Here is a 26,996-nt window from a genome sequence, read left to right as displayed (position 1 = left end):
GACAGTCTGAATTGTTGAACCTACAAGGACACAGAAGAAGGGGTGGGGGAGGGAAGAAGAATAGGCATCTTAGGCAGGGATACAGCAGGCAGGATGCATAGAGCAGTGGTTCTCAACCTTGACTGCACATTTGAGTCACCCAGCATGCTTAAAAAAATTCTGATGACTGAGGTCCTCTCCAGCATCTCCAGAGGTGGGTACAAGCATGGGTATTTTAGGCACTTTTTAGGTGATTACAATGGGCCTCATGGATTGAGAACTGGCTTGGAGTGTGGAATGAGTCTCATGTGTTTGGAGGACAAAGGAGGTCAGTTTGAAGAGAATGGAAGTTCTTCATCCTACATGCAGAGCAGCCTGAGGAGAGGCAGGGAATATCTTGAAGAACTCTGAAGACTGATCTCACCTGAAGATTGATGGGAGGCCATTATTATTATTATTATTAATATTATTGAGCAGTAATAAAGATGGATAAAGCAGTATTTTGTTCAGTCTGTGGTCAGGGGTTCTTAGAGTTGATATAGAATGAAGATAACTCAGGCATGAGGTAACAAGGCCTTGGGCAGGAGCTGTTGGAATAGAAACAAGAGCATAGAGAGGAAGAAACTCGGAAAAGTTGAAATAATAAATTAGGCTCTTAGCAAAGTAGGTACTTAAAACTTGTGGAATAAATGAATGAAAGTGCTAAGGGGATAAAAGTACCAAGGAGGACTTTAAAATATGAAAACCATCAAAATAACATTGCCATGATAACAGATGGGGAAGGTAGGAGGGAGGAATTGCTTTAGGTTAAAAGATGGATTTCATTTTAGATATGTTAAATTTGTGGGGATGGTAATAATGACAACAACCAACCTCTGTGTGACTGCTCTGCCTGCAAGATGAAACCTCTGCCTACTTCTCTAGCCACTTTTGTACTCAGCATCTCTGGCCATGGCCACTCCTTCCAGCTTTAGGGTTTCCCATGAGCCCTTCCCCAACCTTGCTTGGGGTCTTGTTCCCACTCTTTCCTTGGCCCCCGTTCTACTCAGACTTAAAGTTTTCTTGAGGAAGATTTTCTTGCCAAGTTTCCACCAAAATTAATTTCCTTGCTACATTGTTCTGCACCCCTCCAGATGGTTCCTTCATAGGATGTATCACTCTTGGACTTTAGCAATGACTTGTTCAAGAACTCACTCCCCATTGGATAGTAACATCCATATAGGCAGAGATCTCATCTGTTTTGCTCATTGCTGTATTCCCAGGGTCCAGCACTGTGCCTGTTGCAAAGTAGGTGCTTGAATAACTGAATGAATAAGTGTCAAGCATTCTGCATGTAATATCTCTACAACCCTGTGAGGTAGGCACTATTATTAATCTCATTTTACAGATAAGGAAAGATAACTTACCTGAAGTTACACAGCTTTTATGTAGCAGGATTGAACCTTGAATCTTGGTTTTTCTAATGCCAAAGGCTGTGCTTCTTAACCTCTGATCTATTATGCCTCTGCCAGATGATTATAAATACAGGAGCATGGGAGCACAAACACAACTGTAAGAAGACAGAAAGGAGGAGATATAAAAGAACATAAAAAGTCTCAGGCAATTGGAGATGTTTGAATAGAAATAATCTTAAAGTTAATGGAGAATGGAGACAAAACCCTTCATTGGCATTGGGAGAGAAAATTGGTCCAGGAAGTTAAAAGACTGCCCCAAGATCATAGAATTGATTCTTGTTTGAGAGTGTGCTAGATCCAGGCTCTCAACTTCCGGATCTCCCTTTCTATAGGCATGGCAGATGGGGGCAAGTTGTTTGGGATCTATAAGTAGGCAATTCTCTTTGACTCCTATAGCCCCAACTTGGAGACAGAGGGAAAACAGACTGGGAAGGACCTGCAATGAGTATTATGCATAAATGAATTGTTTTATGGAACCCTGCACAGCTCCAATTATACTATAACCATCCTTTGTTGTAGCAACAGAATTAGCTTGCCTTTGATGTGGGTGCCTTAGGTCGCTTTCACTTTATTCTTCACACTTTGCAGAGTGATTAGGTGCAGGGAGTTGGTAGCTGTGCCTCTGCTTCATGAAGAAATACAGGGCTTCTCTAGGGTAGTTTTTGTCTAAATGTAGTCCCTATCCCTCTCTCAACTGCCTCACTGATTTTGCCTATGAGGAAACTAAAATATGAAGAGGTTAAATGACTTGTCACTGTTGGGTGTGGAAGTGGGATAGCTAAGAAGTATGAACTATAAAAGAAGGAGAAAGAAAGGCAGATAGGTATGTTAACCTATATCAGAATTAAATTGGGGATATCTGTCCTATCTTATATAAGTCCAGGGTGACATAAACCTGTCTCTGAGAGTACCCTAAGTGGGCATTTAGCTTCACACTTTCCCTGGGGTCAGTTTGATGCCTCCAGAACTCTTTTTTTAATCTAATTTTGGACTTTCAGGCTTGGACAGGAATTAACCTCAGTTTGGGAAGAAGGGAGGCAATGTTTCCTTTTCTGGACCTCCTCTTCAGGACATCTGGTACATTGTTGGGGCTTCCACTTAATTGCCTATATCACTACCAGGCCCAGAGTAGAAGGAAGATTAGAAATCAGAAGTCCCTGACTCACAGTCCTGATCTGGACTTTATTTATATAAGCACAAAGGATGTAGGCTGCTTTTACTTTATCTTCAAGGTCATTCTCTATGTTCAAAACTTGGCCATCTCTTACCAGCATTTCCCTCACATAGTTGCTGCGTGCCACCATTTGCCCCAAGCTCTTGCCTCACCATGCATGTTCACAGGGTTGTGAGAGAGCAGAGGGGTAAAGTCAAAAGGGGTGCTACTGGGTTATTATTTTGCACATTTGATGGAAGTAGAACTCTAGATTGGGGTAATTTCCCTGAAGTTATAACTAGAGAAAAATTATCCTACCATCTGACCTTTGTAACATTCTTCTAACAATGTCAGGAATTTCTCTGGAATTCAAAGTAATTAACAGATGTGATTCAATTGTCCTCCCAAATCCCTGGATGTAGCAGGCAGCATGGTTTATCCACCTAATAGATGTTTAGGATCACCAGGATTGAGATAAAGTTTTCCCTCCAGGTCATATCTTTATTTATGGGGGAATCTTGAGACTTCTTGCCTTTCAGTCAAGTTTCTTGGTGGCCTTGTCTTCGTAGGGCAAGGTTTGCTTGTGGTTTAGCTTGGTCTCTAAAAGATATACACTCTCCCTAAGGAGAGTCCCCACAGGTCCTGTGATGAGAGTGAAACAGGAATGCATTTATCAGGATCTGCACTTATTCTTCTAGCTTACAGAGCAAAATAAAATCAGGAAACGAAGCTAGAATGTTCTTGAATTCTTTGCCTTAAAAGCAATTAAATAGTAGGATAAACATGACTAAGTCCTATAATTAGGGCAAACGCATGATTTATCTTGCAAAACATGACACTTCTGTGAGTGAAAGGGGCACTGTTAATAGTTATCCTGCAACAGGCTTACACTGGAACTAGTTTGGGTAAACTGGTGTCATCTACTTACCATGGTGGTGGCAGTAGAGTATTAGCTCCCAGAGTTGAGTGCCTGGCATGTTTCATTCATTAAGCCAATGTATAAGAAAGTCTTATTGTAGGTGCTGTGAGAGAACTAAATGCATGATAGATGTATGTATCTTCATGACAAACTCCCTGAAGGGATTTACAGTGTTGTGGAAGAGATGGATATTAAGGGTCAGATTAATATTGGCAGGTTCTGTTATATTCAGTCTCTGTTTTCATGATTTTTATCTCACAGATGATCAGCAGTTCCTTATTTGAAAGGAAATGCTGTAATATCTTTGTTAAACTCATTTAGTGAGATATATTTTACAGAAATTCAGTTCTTGTTACAAAAGGTTTTTCTTTTCCAACTGATTATATTGATATTTTCAGTTATGTTCTTCTTATGGACTGTACCAATACTAGATCTGATAGAAACATTTTAATGATAAAATAAGACTTTTAAAAATAAAATTATATACACTTAATGTAAGTAAACATATTACCTTGTGTAGTGCTTTCAAGTTTATAAAAATTGCTTTCATATAAATATTCACTTTAATATCCACCAAGGCAGGGTGGTTCTCTGTCGCATTCACAAGGAAAATCCCAGCTCCTAGAACAGTGTCTGGGATCTTACTTAACAAATATTATGTGTGTGTATATATATATATATATATATATATATATATATATATATATATATATATACACACACATATATACTTTTTTTTTAAGACAGGGTCTTGCTCTTTCACCCAGGCTGGAGTGCAGTGGCATGGTGCCCAGGCTGGAGGCATGATCACAGCTCACTGTAGCCTCAACCTCCTGGGCTCAGGCAATCCACCCATCTCAGCCTCCCAAGTAGCTGGGACCACAGGTGTGTGCCACCACCCCTGGCTATTGTTTTGTTTGTTTATTTGTTTGTTGTTGTTGTTTTGTAGAGGCAGGGTTTTCATATGTTGCTGAGGCTGGTCTTGAACTCCTGGGCTCAAGTAATCTTCCTGCCTTGGCCTCCCAAAGTGCTGGGATTATAGGTGTGAGCCACCATACCTGGCTATAACAAATATTTGAAATGAATCAATTGCCTATAATGCTTTATTTATTTTGTCTAGAGAATCCTTTATTTTAATGAAACCTTATATGCATTTAACAAATAAAACTGATTGTAGCAGAACTTTTATGGCATGGTCTTAACGTTCATACCTCACCTCTCATAACCCTTATTTCTTAGAGAAGATATGAAAACTACTCATCAAGAATATGAACTCATGACATTAGATAGAGCATTGGAGCACATAAAGGCAGGGAGCTAATTTTGTCTACAGATGAAGAAAATGGAACCCACTGAGTCTAAGTAAAATGCCAAAGGTCAGTTGTGTGACATGGCCAGGCACTCAAAATTCCAGGCTCAAGGGCAGTTTTCCTATGACAACCAGAGTTAGATTGAAGACATTAAGAGATAGGTTAGCCAGGCAACTCTGGAGGACAGCAGGTTGCCAGGAAGCTGAACATTACTGAAATTGTTGAAACAGGGATGGAAGAAATTGCATGTACCAGAACTTTTCCCTGAAAGAACTACCAAATTTGACTGGAAGAAATATTTTGATAAGTCATGTGTGTGCAGTGAGGTCACACTGAGTGGTGTGTTTGAGAAATTACAGATAAATCATCCTAGAACTGCTTTTTAGGGAGATTGGATCTGATTATCCCTAGAATCCTTGTGTCTTTGGTTTGGTTGTGCAGATTGGGGGCAAGATTTATTGATAGAAGAATTGAGGAGAGGGCTTTCTTTCAATTAAAGGCTGAATAATTATTTAAATAATCTCAGTTTGAAAGGGTTTGAAATAACTAGCCTCCCGGGACTCAAAATTCTGGGTCCAGTTCAGATTGCAGAACCCACACCAGACTGCAGAACCCTGATTTTCTCATTTTCAAGTCAGAAATTGAGACTTTTTCCTTTAGAAACGGAACTATGATATATCTATTCTATGGTAATTATATAGATAAACAGGGATTGCAAGAGCTTTCCCTATATTATCCTCATTGAAAGAAGGTAAAAGTATATCATCCTGATAATAACTTCTGAAGACTTGGACCATCATATTTGGCTACTTTTAAAGTTTAAAATTGGCTTAGTCTGCAAAAATCAATTAATTGGTATTATTGAATGCTTCTAATGCCATTATAGTAATGTCTTTCAGTCCTTTGTTGTTATGACATTCTGTAAGAAATACATTTGATGCCACAAGTAGTCCACACATATATAAATATAATTAAAAAAGCAAAAGTATTATGGAATGGTTCTTACATTTACTATGTATTGCACTCATATTTTTATTCTACTTTGCTTAAAAAGTGCTGGTCATGACCCATCAGAATGATTTCATGACTCTAATGTGTCATTACACAAAATTTGAAATTAATGCTACAAACAATATGAGAGGAGGCAAAGGAAAAATTCCTGAACTGGAGGAACTTTGTAGTCAAGTGGGGGTGGGGAGAAGACTAACTTACAAACCACTGGAGCATATTTTATGACTGTGAGTAATTACTTGTCAAACTGTGTGATGTAGTTTAAAAATAATGGAAGTGCAGCATTTACGAGTGTGTCTTATGTATTGAAGAACACAGATCTAAACCAAGAAGACAACTTTTAAAAAGCATGCTTATTTTCAATTATATTTTATGCTTCTAAGAGGCACTTTTCACATATTCTTCTGAAACTGGGGTGTATCTTACAATTGATCTTTACAATCTATAATACATCTATACAATAACTACTTTTGGGCAACTGTCCTGATTCAGTTACCATTTGTTGTTCACGTTCACTCATACTTGTCATTGCTGGTAGCATGACTGCACAGCTGAATCCCCTTACCATTTCAGTCTATAAGCCATAGGAAGAAAAAATGTGAATCTTTTCTGTTAAGAAATTCAATTCAGTCTGATAAAATCAAGTATGTGTCAGCATCAAAGCTTGCAGAATGTTGTTAGTGGCTTAAAGAAAAATTTCAGAAGCAACAATGGTGCATACTCCAAAATAAAATGCTGCTTCTCCACTGCTGTTGTGGACACAGAAGATGATGTTACAAGGAAAACGCTAACACTGATAACTGTGCCAAAAGGATTTAGAAGAGTGGAACTCCACATTTGAAGAAGTTTTAGCATTTTCTTCACCAATGAATTTTGCTTGTATATTCCTTTTTAATTTATACATGAGAGATATATGAAAAAAAGTCTATGTCTAAATAAGTCTGAGACAACTTTAAGAAGTAGCTATAAAATAAAATTTCTAAGTGATAAAACATCATTGTGCAATTGTTTAATTGGCAAGAGTTTTTCTTTTTGGTAGCACATTAAATATCAATGGCATCTTACATTTATGATCAGTCATAAGCAAATGCAAATTAACACCACAACATAATCTCACTACATACTTACTAGAATGGCTAAAATGAAAAAGACTGACAAAACCAGTTGTTGGTAAGGGTGTGAAACAATTGGAACTCTCATGTATTGCTGGTAGAAATGCAAAATTATACAGCTATTTTGGAAAAAGAATTTGTCACTTTCCTAAAAAGTTAGACATGCTTAGTGTACGTCCCAGCAATTCCATTTCTGGCTATTTAATCAAGAGAAATGAAAACATATTCAAAGAAATGCTTGTATGCAAATATTCATACTAGTCTCAAATTGGAAACAACCTAAATTCCATTAACTGTGACTGGATAAAGAAATTATGATGTGTCCATATAATGAATTCAGCAACAAAAAAGGGTAAACTATGAATATACATATGACATCATGGATGAATCTTAAAAGTTAAAGAAGCTGGATGCAAAGGTCTTCACATTATATAATTTTTAAATTATAGAAAAGGCAAAACTATTGTTATTGAAAGCAGACTAGTAGTTGTCTAAGGCCAGGGGTGAAGAGACTCTGCAAAGGGACAGAAAAGAACTTTTTGAGATGATGGAAAAGTTATCTATCATGATTGTGGTGATGGTCACACAACTGAATGTACTTGCCAAAGCTAACTGAATTGTGTACTTAAAATTGGTGATTTTATTGTATGTAAAATTGTACTTTATACATCATTGAAATTGGCTAACAAAAGCAAATTAAGGCTGGGTGCAGTGGCTCAGGCCTGTAATCCCAGCACTTTGGGAGGCCAAGGTGGGTGGATCACTTGAGGTCAGGAGTTCAAGACCAGCCTGGCCAACGTGGTGAAAGCCTTTCTCTACTAAAAATACAAAAATTAGCCAGGCGTGGTGGTGCACACATGTAATCTCAGCTGCTCGGGAGGCTGAGGCACTAGAATCGCATGAACCTGGGAGACTGAGGTTGCAGTGAGCTGAGATTGTGCCATTGTACTCCAGCCTGTGTCACAGAGCCAGACCCTGTCTCAAAAAAAAAAAAAAAAAAAGTAAATGAAAAAAATTGATGGTGCCTTAAATTTTGTAAAATAAGGATTATTTTTTCTATTTTAAAACGAATATAGAGAACAACAGAAAGGAGGAGAAATCACTTATATTCATATACACAAAAACAATAATTTAAAAATCTTAGACATTTTTCCTGTATGTCTTGGTTTTCATTTCCCCCCATGTGTGGGTATAGCATAAACCATCCTCCTAACTCTCTTCCCTGTGGAATTAAGATTAGACACTCTAAAAACTGAATGAGATGTTTCCTGGTTGTTGATCTTATCTATTTTCTTATATCCAAAAGATTCTTCATGTTTGGATTCCTGTAACATCTCTCTGTGCAATGTGAATCAAATAATTGGAAATATAAATATTTTAAATTATGTGTGCCAATGAATTTGGGTTTTGATAATTGAGAAAGAACTCTAGTACCTGAGTAAAATGTACTATTTAGAGGAAATTTTAGAAGCAAGATAAATGGATCAGCCACTAAAGATAGGAATCATTAGACATGGAGAGTTTTTATAATAGTTTGGTCATGAATGAACCTTTTTGGGAGGGACTTCCTGAAAACTTTCAGTTGAATTATTTTACTTGCTTAGAAAAAAAAAAGAAAAAAAATTTACTTTACTTCTGCTTCTACCCACCTAACAGAGTTATATAAGGAAAGATGGCTCCAGTGTGCGTGCTTGTAAGCTCAGACCTTCGAAATAACTACGTGAATCACTTGAGCAAGTTATTTCACTTCTCAGTTTCTCTATCTGTAAAGTGGGGATAATAATAATAGTGATCTCATATGTCTGCTATGGAAGTTAGATGGAGATAATGTGTGTGAGTGCTTTGAACACATGTACGGTTCCAGATTGTTATTATTATAATATCATCACTGTAATGAGAGAACTTTTTCACACATAAAGGGAAGTGGGGACGGAAGCTTGGATGCCAAACATTTTCCTTTCTTGTACTTAACATAAATGACCAGGGAACTTGGGGTACAGTATTTTTGACTTAAAAAATCCTTTTGATTTCTTTACTTTCTGTCTTAGGAAAATGTATTTAGATAAAATTCAGTAGCTGTGAAGATTACTGGCTGGAGGTGCTGTGGGAAATGTGTTTAGTTTTCTCTCGATCTGGATTGGTTAGAAAATAAAAGGAAATCCTTTTGCTGTCATTCTGTTTTGAAAGAGAAATTATAATTTTGAAATATGAAAAGCGTTAATACATATATTTAAATTAATTTTTTTGTTTTTGTTGAGCAGAAATAAGAGGCATAATTGCTAAATCCTCATTTGCCCCACATTTTTTTTTGTATTGGAATAAGAAGGAAAGGTTGTGAGAGTTAAATAGTACTTAATAACATAATTTTACAGACTAATATTCATATTATTGACACCTATTATTTATTAGAATGTTATAAACAAAACATTAGGCTTAAAATATGGCCTTCTAACAATCAATTTACTGCACGAAACTCCTACCAAAGCAGGTTATTAAAACTAGTTTGTGTTTATATAAATAGACCTTCCTGTATTTGCAATAAAAAGACCTGTATTAATGGCACAGTCTCCAATTAGAATTTTTAATTCAATAAGCATTTATTGCAAAGCACTGTATTGCAGCGACAGAAAGATGACTAAAACACATTATTTGTGCAACGTAGCAATTTAAAGGAGGAAAAAGGGAAAGGAAGAACATCATGTGTACACAACTGATTGGGAAAGAAATAAACTGGGCAGTATGTGGGGTAAAGAGCTTTGCATATTATGGACTGCCCATGGTAGTTAGCTCTGTCTCAGCCTCTTCTAGGTATTCAGGGTGAAAGTCATTGGGACCCTCACAGGGGATTGCCTTTTGGCTCCACTTCCAAAAATACTTTTGTTTCAATGAACCATATTTTGTTAGAGGACTTTGCTTCTCATGGTGTTGTTTTTATTCAGTTGGGGTTTGGTGGTTTTACTGTAGCAACTTGTTTTATGGTTTGAGTTCTGCCTTTGATTACATAATCTCTGAACTATTTTATCATTGCTCACTTCCCGTTTATCTGTCATTTTAAAATGAAGAATAAGAGAGTATAGTGATGAGAGACGCAGGCAGTGAAAATGGAGAGTAATATAATTTACAATTGTTACATAAAGTGACAACCCATGTCCCCAGAAGGGAAGACCTTTCTTTTTTTCAGAGTGGCCCTCCGAGGCTAGACTATGGAGAAGTCCCAATCTTGCAGCTAATAAGTTAGAAAGACTGTTCTAGGGTTGATAGGTGCAGCAAACCACCATAGCCCATGTATACCTATGTAACAAACCTGCACATTCAGCACATTTATCCCAGAACTTAAAGTAAAAAACAAAACAAAACAAAACAAAAACAGAAAAAAAATGAAAAAAAAAATAAAAAAAAGACCATTCTAAATCCCAAAGTATCTTTCTGATAAATCAGGGGGCCCAGAAGCTAGGTTCCCCTGGCAGAGGGCAGTAAACTCTTCCTAAATATAGTTCAAGAAAATTTCTGGATAATTATGTTTTCTAACTTCTAGAACAATTCAGAGACTCTGTCACAGGAGCTTTGTTGAGTATCACTAGTGCACAGTCCAAGCCAAAAGCAAAGCTCCCAACTAGAACACAGAAACTTGGATGCCAAAAATAAGTGATGTTTATGGCAGAGTCATTCATGGATTTGAGGGAGCGGGAATAGGCGAGAAAGAGGGACATTAAAAGTTTGATATTTTAAAAATATAAGCAAACCTCAGTTAGTAAATGAATGAATGTTTCAGAAGGAGTAGTTGCTGAGCCTGAGCTGAAAATTCTAACAGTGAATTTAAAGTTTTCACGTGGTAAGATCATTCATATTAAAAGGAAGTTAAAATTGAAAATGTGTAGAGGTTATATGATTTTTGAGGTTGAAGTTACAAAGTTGAAGTGTTTTAAGAATAGAAGAATTCAGCTGTGTTTCCAGTTGGCAATATATTGCAAATTGTTGCTCTACTAAATTGGCTTTGGTTATATCCAAACACAGAGTTTCTCAAAAGTTCCAGTTTCTGATTTCCCAAAGCATCACAAAGCAATTAATGTGCTTAACTTGTTTATATCAATAGTGCTGAATGCCGATAGGATGATTTCCCATTTTCCATCATGGGGAGGCTGCATTTTTCCTTTTGTAATTGAGGCCTTCTACTTATCCTTGAACAGAGGATAATATTTCCTAAAATGTCCTCAGTCCTACTTTTTAAACAAATTTAGTGCTTAAAGTGTCTTGTTCCCCAAATAAGGTCATCTAGAGCAGTCTTTCAAGGTCAATCACAATCTTTAATACATGATTTGAGAAGCTCTCTTCAGTTTATTAGTTTCTTATTTCTATCCACATATAATTCTACTACTTTAGATAATACATGACATCATACAGAACGGAAACATTTCTTTTCAGACAATCTCTGAAAGAATGAAAAGAAAAGCTTTCTTTAAATGCGAACAGAGAAATAATGAGTGACGAAAAATTTCCCCTAAATGATAAAGCAATTGTATTTCCTATTCCAAAACAAAGTGCAATGCAATATGTGTTCTTTTCTATTACATTTCTAATAAAATTATATGAGAGAAGAGATGAAGCAATAGAAATTATTTCCTAGAAACATCAAATGTTGACCCACCTCTCTGATTACTGTTAAGAGCTCTAATCTTGTGGTTAGGTAAGTATCTTAATTAAATCACATGCTATTTCTGCATCATTAGAGCAGGTCCAAAGCTGGAATTCTCTTCAGAAAGTTGAACCTGTGTTGGTGTGTGTGGTGTTTGTTCATATACATTTAGGCATTCACCAAGAGGAACTACCACAACATTTTTGCAAATCCAGATTCCTAGCTTTGCTACTCATCAACATGGAGTGATCTTGGACCTCGGTTCCCTTATTTGGGATAACAACATCTACTTGAAAGGCTCATTGTGTGAAATTACACACTGCATGTACACAACCTGGAGCACAGGGAGCATTCCCTAGCATTTAACCATTACCTGTTTTTTCATCCTTCAGTTATAAGGTTGAAATAAACTCATTTAAAAATTATCATCATCTTATCTGTTGGCTGAAGTGCCTACTGTGATTTTTTAAACATCATATTCATTCATTTAATCAATCATTCAATCATTAAAAGTATTAACTTAGTATTATTTTCATACAGAAATGAATAAAAACATGAACCCTGCTTCCAAGAAATTCACAGTTTAATGAGTCAAATTAATTATGGTATTTAAAGCTATCTTTTAACTAAGTCACAAATATTTGTTTTCTATTTCAAGTACATCATTTCACATAATTCAGTCATATGGTTTCTTTATCTAGGGGTTCTCCACACTGGCTGAACACCAGAATCAACTGGGAGAATTTTCTTGAAAACACTAACGCCTAGGCCCTACACAGATCAATTAAACCAGAATCTCTGGACACAGGTGTGTTTAAAAAGTTCCCAGGAGCCATCGAGTTTGGGAATCACTGGGCTAGAGTCAAACCAAAACTCAACTTCCTGGCCTTATTTTAGATGTTACTTTTTTGTTTCACTTCCATTGGGCATGCCATTCCTCTCTCTTTTCTGTCAGCGTCCCTCATTATCTTCAGAAGACAGTTGCAAAGATGCCTTTCCAGGGAACTTTGTATTATTTACACCCTAGATTATGCTCCCTGTTTTGTGTGGTGCCTTTCTTACTCTTACTCATTACTTTTCCGTTTGGATTTATTGGACAAGTGAAATTCACAAAAGCTTCTTTCTTTTTTTTTCAAGACAGTGTCTCGCTCTGTCACCCAGGCTGGAGTGCAGTTGCGTGATCTCAGCTCACTGCAACCTCCACCTCTCGGGTTCAAGCGATTCTCCCACCTCAGCCTCCAGAATAGCTGGGATTACAGCTGCGCACACCACGCCCAGCTAATTTGTGTATTTTTTGTAGAGACGGGGGTTTCACCATGTTGCCCAGGCTAGTCTCTAACTCCTGGGGTCAAGTGATCCGCCCACCTCGGCTTCCCAAAGTGCTGGGATTACAGGCGTGAGCCATCACGCCAGGATCGCAAAAGCTTTCTTATTTCCTTTGCGTTATGTTTCCCAAATTAGTGTGTAAGTTTCTTGTGGAAGAGATAAAATGTTCTTTATTAAATTTTTTTTTTGTGCTTCTGACCATAGTGGGCACGCAACTAATGTTCGTGGACAACTGACTCATTTCTGGTAAACTGATTTCTTCCTCCAACTTACTAGTATTAGCAGCTGTAGGATATCAGAATGAATTATGACTGTCTTTATCTTAACTTGACTTCCTAACTCCAAATTTTAACCTTTCGTCATCAGTTCCTTAGAATTTAACTTTCCTTCTTTTCTACTAGTCCAAATGAAATATTTTAAAATTTCTTATCTTTAGGCAGTTTTTTGGAAATTACCTACATTAGTTAAACCCAGATGTAATAAAAGCTACAGCACTGAACTATACTCTTCTAAACTTCTTGAAGGACAATGCCATATTTGTGTTCCAGGCACATAGACAAATATCTGGTGTATAGTAGGTGCTCAATAAAGATTGGTTGAATTAATTGAATTAATTCTTTGGTTAAATTAAGATTCATTAGCAGAGAAACTCTGAATGTATCTATCAGGCAAATCATTCTGGAATCAGATGCATTTTGAATAGCAGTATTTCTCTGCATTTACCTTTTTATTATTCACAAGCTCTGGGAATCTAACTTTGCTTTTTTATATCACTGAGCCTCCCTTAGCTCTTTACTTTGTTGGCATCCTTTGGAATTTTGTGTTGGCTCATTGAGGTCATTGATCTGTCTGGCTGTCTGTGGATTTATGAATAACACCATACTTGAACAGCACCATTCTAAATTATTGCATACAATGCACTTAATTTTGTCCTGAATCTCATTAGAGAAAACAAGGAAAATATTATAAAGTAAAATAATACAAATATTGGTCAGTGTATTTTACTCAAAGGCAATCACTGGGAATTTGTTTGTGTATTTCCTGCCAATCTTTTTTAATGCATTTTTAAGAAAGCATGATAATGTCTAAAATTCAACTGTTTATTTAATTTTGTATTTTGGTGTAATCCTTTAATATTGTAACCTAAGTGTTTTCCAATATTCTATAAACTCTTTGTTAAGTTTTACTTAATGAATATATTGTATACTGCAGTATTGTAAAATGAATTTGCAAAAATTTCAATAAACAATTTTCTCATTGTTGAACTTTTGGATTGTATTGTATTTTTATTACAATTAACAATCATTAGGTAACAACATAAGTAGGGTTATGTCCCAGAAGCTGTGTCCAAGGGTGATATGGTTTGTCTGTGTCCCCACCCAAATATCATTTTGAATTGTAGCTCCCATAATTCCCTCGTGTTGTGGGAGGAACCCAGTGGGACATAATTGAATCATGGGAGCGGTTTCCCCCATACTGTTTTCATGGTGGTAAATAAGTCTCACAAGATCTGATGGTTTTATAAGGAGAAACCCCCTTCTCTTGGCTCTCAATCTGTTCTCCTGTCTGCTGCCTTGTGAGATGTTCCTTTTGCCTTCCACCATGATTGTGAAGCCTCCACAACCACATAGAACTGTGAATCCATTAAACCTCTTTCTTTTGTAAATTGCCCAGTCTCAGGTATGTCTTTATCAGCACCGTGAAAACGGACTAATACAAAGGACATGAACATTTTTAAGTTTTTGAGACATGTGGATAAATCACTTCCCAAAGGACTATAATCTTCTGCAGACCTGTCAACAGTGCATCAGTATTCTCCCTTCCATTAAAGTCTTGTCAGCCTTGAGGACTTATTTTTTAATATAAAAAGGATGTTTTTTATTTTATTTAAGATCCCCCTGAAGGATTCCATTGTGCACATCTTTAAGATTTTACTCCATTCACTTTAGCATACTGCTACACCAACTTGAGAATCTCTCCATATCAAGTCTACCCTGATGCAGTTGTTGATGGGAAGAATACAGGTTACTTGCCTGGTTAGAGTGCCGATAGAAGATGGTAGGAGTGATAGGGCTCTGGCTGTGAATGGAGGCTGGTTGGAGTACACAACTATGGATGTGTTGATAGAGATGCTTGAGCCACCACATCCCTATATGTGTCAATATAGGTTTTTATAGGTTCCAAAGATAAACCAAAGCTTAATTTTTTGGCTAGAATTTCTTTTACAAGAGTTTGGGTATCTAAGCAAGAGAACACGTAAAATCACAGGGCATCTCAAAGTAGAATTTCCTTATGAGAGATGGAAACTGTGGGCTGTTTGGATTGTTTCAGTAAACTCTATATCTTTAAGCCACTTCCATATTCCATTCTGTTTGATCTTATGTATCCATTCTCCCTCCAATAAGAGAGATAAAGTGTTTTTATTTTGGCAACTGGATTGCTGCTGTATAGTCAGAAAATAAATTTTATTTAGGGCCATGGTTAAGTTGGTTGGAGAACTGGTTTTTAATGCATCATGAAAGAAGACCAAATATCCATTAAAGTAGTAGCAGGTATATAGAGAGGTTATGCAAAAATATGATGTGTTCATCTTTCAAGGCCCTAAACAAATGCCACATCTTCTCTGAAGCCTTTTCTGACTGTTCCAACTGCCCTGGTTGTTTTCCTATAGATCTTGGATCCTCACCCCTGTTACAGCAATGATAACATTGAATTAGTTACTTGTCTACATGACTGTTTCCTCACCCAATTATGGTCTTGTAGAAAACAGAGTTAATCTTTTTTTTTTTTTTAAATTGTATCCCTAAGCCTTAGCAGAGACTGACATACAGTAGGTGACTTATCATTGATTATTTGATGGTGGAAAGATAGAGGTATAAGAGAAACGAAAAATATTATTAAATGTATGATCATTAGCTTGTATTCTAAATTAGATTTTTTCAGACAATATAGAAATGTGCTCATCATTTTATAGATGAGGAACTGAGTGGTAGAGACATTAAGTGATTTCCTCAAGTGACACAGCTGGCTAAGGCACAAAGCGAGGTTCAGCATGCAGGCGTTCCAGTTCTTAGTCCTGTGTTCTTTCCAATCTACCTAAAAACATAATTCGCTTTAGAACACTGCATGAAAAAAAACTGTTTTCTGATCATATGGAGAAAACACCCAGCAAAATAAGCTGCTTTTATGTTATAGTGCATGTTGATTCCTTCAACATATTTTTCACATTTTAGAATAATGCAAATGGAGAAATACCTTTATATTCAATGTAAGATTTACAGTATTATGGAGCTTCATAAAGAATATTGAAGAGCTGAATCTTCTTAGAGGAAGACTTTATTAAAAAAGCTATGCTTTAGTGATAGTGTCACATAATGAGAGCTTTCATTAAGTGGCCATATATGGACAAATGTTACACCTATATTTATATTGCATAGATTTTTGCAAGTTAATAAAATGAGAAAACTCATATAATGCAAATAAAACTGTTTGACCTATAGTGTAGAAAGTCTTCAATATTGTTGTTTTTGTTCTTTTTAAATTTTCTTAATATAACATTCTTTAACCTGACAGTTTTTTCCTTTCCCTGAGACATTTAGAGGAAGCAATTGAAATGCTTATTATGGTAGCTGGAGGAATCAACTGGCAATTTAAAAGAAGTTATTCTGGCTGGGCGTGGTGGCTTACCCCTGTAATTCCAGCACTTTGGGAGACTAAAGTGGGCGGACCGCTTGAGGCGAGGAGTTCGAGACCAGCCTGGGCAAGATGGGGGAAACCCCATCTCTACAAAAAAAAAAATGCAAAAATTAGCTGGGCATGGTGGCTTGTGCCTGTAGTTCCAGCTGCTCTGGAGGCTGAGGCACAAGAATCACAGGCACCTGGGAGGCAGAGGCTGTAGTGAGCCGAGATGGTGCCATTGCACTCCAGACTGGGAGACAGAGTGAGACTCTATCTAAAAAATAATAAATAAATAAAATAAATAAATAAAATAAGTTACTCTGAATAAATGACAGTTCCAGCAAGAGGGAGTTGGCCTAATATAAAGCAATCAGTTCATACCCTTGACAGGTTCCTATAGAAGGCTTTGATAATTAGGATTCCACTGGGTCTTAGAGGGGGAACATTCATTAAGCAAATTGTTCTTTTTCTCTCTTTTTTCCTTCCAAAAACAGACACTGGAAGAGGTCATTGAAGAGTCACAAGAGAACCAGGCAGTGCACCTGATTTCCTAGCAACTCAAAGGATATAGGTAGATGTCATGGAAGCAAAAGAGGCAAAACCAAAAAACAAAAACATAATATTTTTAATCTTCTGAGAACAGAGAAGAGACATTCAAAAAGACAAAAGGAAAGGGCAGGAGGACTGAGAGGGGCACAGGCCCACATGTCCCTGAGTTTTCCCATTAGTGAAAAGAAGATAAATGACAAAAGAAGGTTGTCATGTCTTTTGAAATGAGACATGGGGATTACTGTTGGCTAAAATGCCCACTAATCTAGCCACCACACTAGTTTTATGGTTTCAATTAGCATTTTTTTCTCTGATTATTTTAAATTAACCCTTACAGCCTCCCAAGCATTTTGGCAGAGTTACGGTGGAGAAAGTTACTATAAACTAAATTATAAATTTAATTAATCTAATTGGAGTTGAAATTCATGGCATCAATTAAATCCTCATATCTTATTCCCCTTGTTCATGTGATTGCCATTCTAGGCATGTATAAAACCTTGATGTGGCATAATTATGTAATTTCTTAAGCAACCCAGCCACAGCGCATTAATAATATCCTGGTTAGGAGGCGCAGGAGCCTAAAACCTTACTGGAAACAAAATCCTGAGCATTGTGAGAGCCTGAACTGTATCTCTTTCCTTCTTGTCTCTCCATATCATATAGCCCAGGCTGAAGGACACAGAAGGAGTTTAATGAGTGGTTCCTATGGAGACACAATCCTAAAACTGCCTTGTTGCCTCCATATTCAGTTGTCCAGCCACTACTGTATGATATTACAAATTGGCAGGCAGGTTCAAGGTCATATTCAAGCTTAAAATGCATTGAAGTCATAAAGTATTGTGCAGGAATGAGAGTTCTAAGGTGTATTAGATAAAAAAATTAGCCCTAGATGTCACATAGATAAAAATCTTGAAATATCAGGGACTTCATGCAGTAAATGGTTATTTCTTGCTTATTTCCCATTCTATCTTGCAGCTATAGAATCTGGAATGTGCACCCTCTGCAATGATCATGGTACGGGAAGTGAGAGATGGCAGAGGTGCACTGGTTCTCACTCATCTTAGCCTAGAAGTGACACATGTCATTTCCACTCAGAGTCCTTTGACTAGAAGAAGTCATGTGACCCCCAACGTACCTGCAAAAGAGGCTGTGAAATATAGAGAAGTCCATAGAATTTGATGAGCACTGTCTTTGACATGTTAGGATTTTTGCAGCACCTGGGGATTCCACCGTAGCTCTAGGTACTAGGCTATGAATGCCAAATAATATAAACATACAGATGAAACAGCCAGATAGTTCTTTGGGAGATTCTTTTATTAAAATAAGTTAAACATAGAAGGCAACTTTTTCTCTTTTCTTTCTTACTGGCTTGGAGAGTTAGCTTCTTGGATGTTGCATGGGGTCCCATTTCTGTACAGAATTCCGTTTAGTTTGGATTACACTTGTGCATCTTTCAGCCCAGGATCCCAAAAAGGGTCTCATGTATTTCTCTAGTCAGTTTCAGAGTTGTGCCCCTGAGATAACCATGTTGTCATGCCAATAATGGTTACTTGGAAATCTTTATGGGAAGTGTTCAAATATTAGAGGAATTAATAGAGAAATGCTATGTTATTTAACTATTAGAGCAATTTACACTAAAACAATAGAGGAACTTAGCCACAATTCCATATAAAAGCTGAAACAGAACCAGGGAAATATTTGGCCATCTGAAGCACTTCCTTAGGTGGCAGAAGGCTGGATGGCCTGAAGTATTATTAGCTTAGTTTTTTATCCAGTGTCAGGCCGAATAGTTTGCTGAGATTTCAGCCTTTCCTTACATCACATATCACACTATCATAACTGATGGAAGCCTTATTTATTTATTTATTTATTTATTTATTTATAGTGACTAAATCTCACTCTGTCATCCAGGCTGGAGTGCAGTGGTGCAATCACAGCTCATTGCAGTCTCAAACTCCTGGGAAAGCTACATTTTAAAATAGCAGGCTGGATGCGGTGGCTCATGACTGTAATGCCAGCACTTTAGGAAGCCAAGGTGGGCAGATTGCCTGAGCTCAGGAATTTGAGACCAGCCAGGGAAACATGGCGAGACCCCATCTCTACTAAAAATACAAAAAATTAGCTGGGAGTGGTGGCACATGCCTGTAATCCCAGCTACTCCAGAGGGTGGGGCATGAGAATCACTTGAACCCATGAAGTGGAGGTTGCAGTGAGCTGAGATTGCGCCACTGCACACCAGCCTGGGCGACAGAGCGAGACTGTCTCAAAAACAAAAACAAAAAAAGGAAATTGTATGGCCGGGAGAAGGTTTTATCAAAACAATTGTTGTGAACAGCGTGACCAGTAGATGAAAAGATTTCCACAAATTCCCAGCCGTTATTTTCACTTTACTTTCTGCTCCATCCCCGTTGTGCTCAGGAGGCTCCTCTCGACAGGGTGAGAGTCAGGCCCACCCTGTGCTATCAGGCAAGGGTCAGAATTGCTTTACCTTAAGTAAGACACTCTTGCTTCCACAAGTTAAAGGATATTTACTATGACTGTATCTTACAACACCAATTAGTTAATACTTGTAAAGTTCTTTGAGAGGGAAGACTACTCACTGTATGAATTTAAAGGGTGATTATCTTTTTGTTATTTATAAAAAACATCACTAAGTACAATTATCATTGTTTTAAAAATATTTTATTTGAATTCAACAGGATGTGGTTATTATCTGCTGAGTTAGTGAGGCTTCTGAGAGCTATAATTAGACTTGAATAACTGAAGGAGGGTAGGATAGACCAGAGTCTTGGCTAAGGGCCATGGGTTGAGAAAAGGAACATGCAGAAGATGGACTGGATTGGTGACATTGCCTTCTTTCTGTCACTGGCTGTAAATGGCAAGAATATGGCATGGCAAAGAAAAAAGAATTTTCCTCATAAATCAGGTAATTCTATAACTTTGTCAGAGGTACAGCGCTTGCTTGGCCTTAAGTATCATAAGCACAGTGTAGAGGGATTTCTGGCTTTGGCTTCACACAGCTCTGGTTGGCATCTTGACTGTTTCTTAGGAGCTACGTGTACTTGGGTGAATCACCTAAATTCATCGGATGTCAGTTTCTTAATCCATGAAATGAGAGAATAGTGTGTTGTAATGTGATATCAGTACTAGAAATAATGTGTGGCAAGTACTAATTACTGGGCCGAATTCATTATGGGTGCTCAGCAAATTGTACAGATAATCATGATCATTTGCATTAATAGTAACATGAGAAAAAGATCAGGAAAGTAAGCACAATCAGCAGTGATCATTATTTGGAGTCAAGCCTTGTATAGTAATGGCTTAATCAGGTAAAACTGTTGATTCTAACAGGTGAATTGGTTACTTTTCTAAGAAAACCACTATTTGTATTTTTTTTTTTTTTTTGAGACAGAATCTTGCTCTGACATCCAGGCTTGAGTGCAATGGTGTGATCTCGGCTTACTGCAACCTCTGCCTTCTGGGTTCAAGTGATTCTCCTGCCTCAGCCTCCTGAGTAGCTGGGATTACAGGTGCCCACAACCATGCCTGGGTAATTTTTGTATTTTTAGTAGAGACAGGTCTTCACCTGTTGGCCAGGCTGGTCTCGAACTCCTGACCTCAAGTGATTTGCCTGCCTTGGCCTCCTAAAGTGCTGGGATTACAAGCATGAGGCACCGTGCCCGGCCCACTATTTGTATTTAAAGGAGGTCTCCTGTAAGCATTATAACTTAACCTAAAGAATGGCTTTGGCAGGAATTTCAAGCACAGACAGACTTGATATTCCTCCCAAAGCCGTTCTTTAGGTTAAGTTGGTAAAAAAGAGATGGTTAAAAAGAGGCTGGTGAAAAAGAGATTTAGGGTGCAAAACTAACTTTTGACTTTTAGATCACATTATGTGGCGGACAGTTTACATTATAATCAAGACACTGGCATTTTACATTATTCAGATTTTAAGAGTTTGGTGTTTGATGTAGAGATTTATGCAGTGTTATAGGAAAGGGCATGATGTATTTATAGTGCATTTATAAGTCAATTGTCATTACATTAAGATAAAGTACAACAATATTAGTCCTTTGTGTCATGATGTGTGTAACAGCCCTTTCTGTCTTCATTAGGATGCCCATAGTTTTCTGACTTATGCTATGACTGTTCCACAAATAATGAAAAATATATTAATATGAATATTTTATGTACAATTTAATTTCTCTGCTGATCATATGTTTAAACAAATACTAAAATAATGCATATTTATTCTTAAAAAGCCCAACATTTCAGAAGTATATAGACTAAAAATGGAATATCCTTTACCCAAAAGAAATTTGATATGGTTTGGCTGTGCCCCCACCCAAATCTCAACTTGAATTGTATCTGCCAGAATTCCCACATGTTGCGGGAGGGACCCAGTGAGAGGTAATTGAATCATGGCAGCTGGTCTTTCCTGTGCTATTCTCATGACAGCAAATAAGTCTCACGAGATCTGATGGGTTTTTCAGGTGTTTCCGCTTTTGCTTCCTCCTCATTGTCTCTTGCCACCGTCATGTAAGAAGTGCCTTTCACCCTCCTGCCATGATTCTGAGGCCTCCCAGCCATGTGGAACTGTAAGTCCAATTAAACCTCTTTTTCTTCCCAGTCTCAGGTACGTCTTTATCAGTAGCATGAAAACGGACTAATACAAAATTCATACCATTTTAACTTTGCAAATTTTATGAAAAAAATTAAATCAACATTTCACTTTTCCATGACCTATGAAAAAAGGTCATAGGTCATGGAAAGGGGTCATGGATGAGCGGTCTGATGGAGTTCTGATGATGGTTTGCAAACTCTAAGCTTCTGAAACACTGTCATCTCTGTTATCCATGGATTCTTTCAGGATGACTTTTCAGCTTAGGGAGTCCAGACAAGACTATAAGCTTCTGGCCTAGGAATGTCTATGCAGGTGTCAGGGATTTGTCACACATGAATGCATGGCAGAGGAATTAAAAATTTCCTTTTACAAATAACCAACCTCCCAGCCAATTAATACAAATACACTCCTGCCTGTTGCCAAGTTATAATTCATTGTATTGTTGTGAAAAGAACATTGGGAGAGGTTTATGGTTTCAATGCTCTTTTAAGTCAAAAGCATGACATGAAAAATGGAGGCTTTAAAAGTGGAGTTTCTCTCTGAGGATCCAATTCTAGACTTCTCAATGTGGAAAAGTAGTAAGACTTATAGGAAATATTGCTGATAATTGCTGAAGGCTTTGACTGAAATTATTTCTGAAAAGTCTTTATAAAATACTTATTGGAGTTTCTGGATCCTAGCCAGCAGGAGCTTACAATTTATGACTTCGTGGATGGCAACAGATATTAAGGACACGCATGCAGCTGAGAAAGTATTGAATGAGTTTTACTGATGTGCCATTGTAAGAGTAAGTGTGTGCTGGAGGGTGAAATGACTATGATAATTAGAAACTTTAAAAATTATTTTATTTGTTATTAATACCTTCTTTATTCAAAGAAAGGAATAGGTCAGCTTTTAGGGATGTGCTGCAGTTATCTATTGCAGAGTAACAAACCATTCTGAAAGGTAGTAGCTTGATAATAACAACTGTCTATGGGCTGAGCTCAGGTGGGTGATTCTTCTGTTGGCCTTGTCTGACTTATTCATGTGGCTGCACTTATCTGGAGGTTTTATAGGGCTGGGGATCCAAAATGGCTTTATCCACATGTTTGGCACCTCAGCTAAGTCTGAAACAACTGGAGGCTGGACAGAAATCTTTCTCTCTCTCCTGCTACAGGTCTTTGCAGCAGAGTAATGGAATATCTTTACTTTATGTATTGGCTAAGGCTCCAAAGAGGCTGAAAGCAGAAGCTTCCATGCCTATGAAGGCCTAGGCCAGAGCTGGCAAGGTGTCACTTTCACTACCTTCTATTGATTAATAAATTCATAAGGCTGGCTTGATTCCATGTTGGAGAGAAAATAGACTAACTTTCTGATGGGAGGAAGAGCAAAGAATTTGAGTCATCTTTAATTCACTGAAGGACATAGAATAGACAAGAAAATGTAATAATAACCTCTAAAAATTGCCAATAAATTTTTGATTGAAGGTCAACTAGCAGATGTGACATGTTTACACCCAGTAGCAACAACACAAATTGTCTAATTTCAAGGACCCCAAAAGGTCAACTTACCAATTAGCTTAGCCCAAGGTTTACTTTTTTTTTTTTTCTGGTTGGAGTTACTCATATAATTTTACAATGTTAGCGTTGGGAGACAATTTGAAGGTTACCTAGTCCAGTCAAATGTTTTTTGATGAAAATAAGCATTTAAACAAGATTACAGACATATTTTTCTAGGTGAGAGGTGTAGCGCACGGGCTAACTAATTTGTTTATATGATTAATTCATTGTGACTTTGGTTGAGGACAGAATCTAGGGAAGTGGAACATAGGACAAGTATATTTTACATGGAAGGGAAAGGTAGGAAAATATGCAAGGTATGCAGTGTGTTCACAGCCTAGGAAGGTCCTAGGGATGGAGATGTGCACTGCAGTCAAAGAAAAATCAAAGTGCCTAGATCTGAGGAAGGGGGGATGCCTGAGGGAAGAATTTCAAAAGTGATACCCTACAGGCTTCTTCCCATTAGTGAGAGAGAAGACTTCTTGGAAAAACTGTTTCAACAGTATTGGAAATGAGAAGTAGATTTCTCATGAACTGCCCAGTTAGTTTGCAGGAATGCTTAACTTTTCCTCTAGAGATTAGCTTTTTCATATCTTTGTATAAGCTCAAAGTTTGTCAAAATATATATAGTTGGCTGATTTTCACCTTTGTCTTTCTGTAGTTCCTCTTCCCTGTCTTCCTAGAAGAGGGTGTTTATTGACTGATCTGTGATGGTGTTGCTCACTGGCTTCCTCTGTTGTTTTCAGAATGTATGTTTTTGGTGTGGATTAGCATCCAGGTGTGTGTTTATAATAATAGAGCTCTTTGAAGCCCAGTGTGCTGGACTTTGGCTCCCTGGCTGGTTGAAACATATTTCCCACTTCATTTTGCAGTTGTTATTTTTGCAAGCTAGGTTTAACAGCTTTGGTCTTTTCATTTTCTGAAAATTATGGGAATGCTTTGAGGTGCCAACATGTCTCAACATGTTTTAATGGAAGAGGAGCTGAGGTCATTGTGAAGCCAATAAATTTCAGCTGGAGAAGGAAAACTGTAAAAGGGAAAGTGACAGGTATGCCATTTCACCCTTTTTCCCTAACTGGCTGGTGGCATTGCTGTTACTTCTTCCCATGGTTTTTGGCCCACAGTTTCCTTGTTGACCAGCCCAATGTCCATAAGAGATACTGTTTCCATCTGCAGTTTCTGAATGGGATCTAACTCCTATTTGTAAAATATGCTACGTTCTTTTTGGGCCTGAGTCATTTTTTTTTTCTCTTATAAATAGATTGACACTGCAATTAAGAGAGACTTCACTTAATAAGAGAGACTTTGGGAATATAGGGAGTATTTAACACCTGTGATTCAATGAAACATGTATTTTTCTTAGATCTGTAATAATCCTAAATGATCCTGGACTATTTTAAAAAGTCGTAGTATTTTGGTGTAAAAAAAGCAGGTTCTACCCTATTTCTCAATGTACAAGATTTATGGGTCTTAGGGCTAGTTCATAACTCTAGGTTCTGCTTCAGTGGGTGTACTTGTTACTGAATTAGCTAAGGTATTAACTGTTTGATGACTTGAAAAGACAAATTTCCTGGTCTCACATGTTACATTTGCAAAGACTCTAGATTTCTATTTCAATAAAGCTTAAATGGAAACACCTCTGCTTTCAATGGTAGGCAATTTATTTGTGGGACTCTTGAGTGACTTTCCCAGAAAGGCTGGCTGCTGTGGATGTGTGCCTCTGCTCAGGTATCATTTTTCTTTTGAAACATCATTAAAGCACAACAGGGGTAAATCAATACCTATTGACTCGCAGTTGTGGTTTCTCATTTGTTCCACTGATCTGATGAGATGGCTTTTTAACCCATTTAGCACTATCAGAAAGGACACCTCTGGCCAGAAATGTTCCTGGCTGTTTGTGGTATCTGTAAATTGATTTTTTTTTCCTCATTCACCCTCTCTTTTCCTATCTGGCCCCCAGAGGACAGATTTTCTCAGACATGTTCTAATCTGATCAATACCAGAAAATCTAGGCAGTCATCAGAAAAAGCATCATCTTAAGGTTCTGAGCCTGAGAGACATGTCAGTAACTCTAAAACACTGTAGCTGAATGGCCTGAACACATCGAGCAAGGTGAGCCTTTCAGATTCCCTTGGAACCTGAGCTAGCACGTGCCTACAATGGGTGATTTTGCTGCCTGCTTCACTGACATAGACCTAAGTAGGCTAGGCAGGGAGAGGAGAGAACAGCTGTTGAAAATTCAGAGACCTCCCCACACTTTTTGCTTTGGGAAACTGAGAGAAGGGTTAACTTCTCCCATCCCCAGCTTGGCTTCCAGACCTGGAGTCCCTGCCCCTGGTTACCTTGTTAATGGAGATTGAACTTCAGTGACAGCTGTAGAGACTGGAGGAACAGGCCAGGACAAGAGGCATGAGTTGTCAACCAACTTTGCTTCAACTAGACCTGGTTCAGATGTCCTGGGGAAGGAAAGACAGCAATTTTGCCTGGAGGTATTCCTGGGACTCCCTGCAGGTTGAGGGCAGAAGAGGAACAATTAGCTCTTGACCTAGAATAGCTTGATAGGTTACTGCTGGTGGTTTGCAGAGGTGTGGGGGTGATGAGGAGATATGTAATCAATCATGTAATCAGAGGGCTTAAACAAAACAAAACAAAACAAAACAAAAGAAGAGAGGAGGGGGAGGTGAGGTAAGAAAGAGAAATAAATTTGGGTGTAGAGATTTTTTAAGAGAGTAAAAGTGGAAAAAAGGATTAGGAGACTAAACAAAGAGCCCTAAGAAGCTTATCTCTTGATGGCTAATGGACCCAATGTTTGTGTCCCCCCAAATTCATATGTTGAAGCCCTAGTCCCCAATGTGATAGTATTTGGAGGTGGAGCTTTGAAAGGTAATCAGGTTCAGATGAAGCCATGAGGGCAGATCCACCAGGTGAGGACATAATCAGGAAGAGGGGGCCCTCACCATAACCTGACCATGCTGCCACTATTCTTGGACTTCCAGCTTCCAGAACCAGGAGGAATACGTTTGTTGTTTAAGCTACTCAGCCTCTGGTAGTTTGCTATAGCAGCTCAAACTGACTAAGACACTATCAATCTGTCTTCCATAGTAAAGTGTCATCTGCATATATAGCTATCTTGTCTTCTCTCAAAGTATGAGGAACACATGCAGGTTTCTGGCATGCAGAATTGATCTTTGTTCGTATTTTCATTGTAATTGAGATTACTTGAGGAAATTGGGTAACAAGAAGTGTACTTAGAGAAAGTGGAATGAGAAATGAGAGAAAGCAGTTTGATTAGGCTTTTTGGTTAGATACAGTATTTGAGGCTAGTTTTTGGAGGTGAGTTATGTTTTTTGGGCATGGCTTTTTCTATTGAGATTTAGTCTACCAATGATTTGCTGTATTTTGACTTGTGTTTAGGTTTAAGTATGGTGTTAGGTGGTGAATTGTAATTGGGAAGAATTCTAACAGGTTGGAAAATTTATGTGTGTGTGAGGAGAATTTTCTTTCTTTCTCCTCTGGAATATATTTTAAAAATAAACTCCTCAAGAGAATTGGCTGTACTGCTGTCTCAGTCTGCTTGCTTCCCAGTCTCTCTTGAACCCACTCCAGTTAGACTGCTCTCACCTCCACATTGCTGAAATGCTTCTTATCGAGGTCTCTGTTGTGCTCCATGTGGATAAATGTCACGATCAGTTAGTTCTCATTTCCCCTGA

General features: G+C 37.8%; 1 long non-coding RNA gene across 2 annotated transcripts in view; it reads right to left on the bottom strand.

The window, feature by feature from the left end:
* The window catches only part of LOC105374737 (uncharacterized), a 31,257-nt gene extending 5,553 nt beyond the window's left edge, over window positions 1–25,704 (bottom strand). The window contains exons 1-3 of one of the 2 annotated variants that reach the window (XR_007058745.1): window positions 25,629–25,704; window positions 1,386–1,528; window positions 494–566 (exon numbers count right to left, since the gene is read on the bottom strand). This is a non-coding gene — a long non-coding RNA (uncharacterized LOC105374737). Of the gene's footprint in view, window positions 1–493; window positions 567–1,385; window positions 1,529–25,628 lie in introns of those variants that run through there. The other variant, XR_925942.3, reaches the window with a different exon arrangement.
* Between the last annotated feature and the right edge of the window lie 1,292 nt (window positions 25,705–26,996).

The sequence above is a fragment of the Homo sapiens genome, chromosome 5 (genome assembly GCF_000001405.40).
Source record: "Homo sapiens chromosome 5, GRCh38.p14 Primary Assembly".
Taxonomy (NCBI): Eukaryota; Metazoa; Chordata; class Mammalia; order Primates; family Hominidae; genus Homo; species Homo sapiens.
This window is presented reverse-complemented; position numbering and strand designations above follow the sequence as displayed.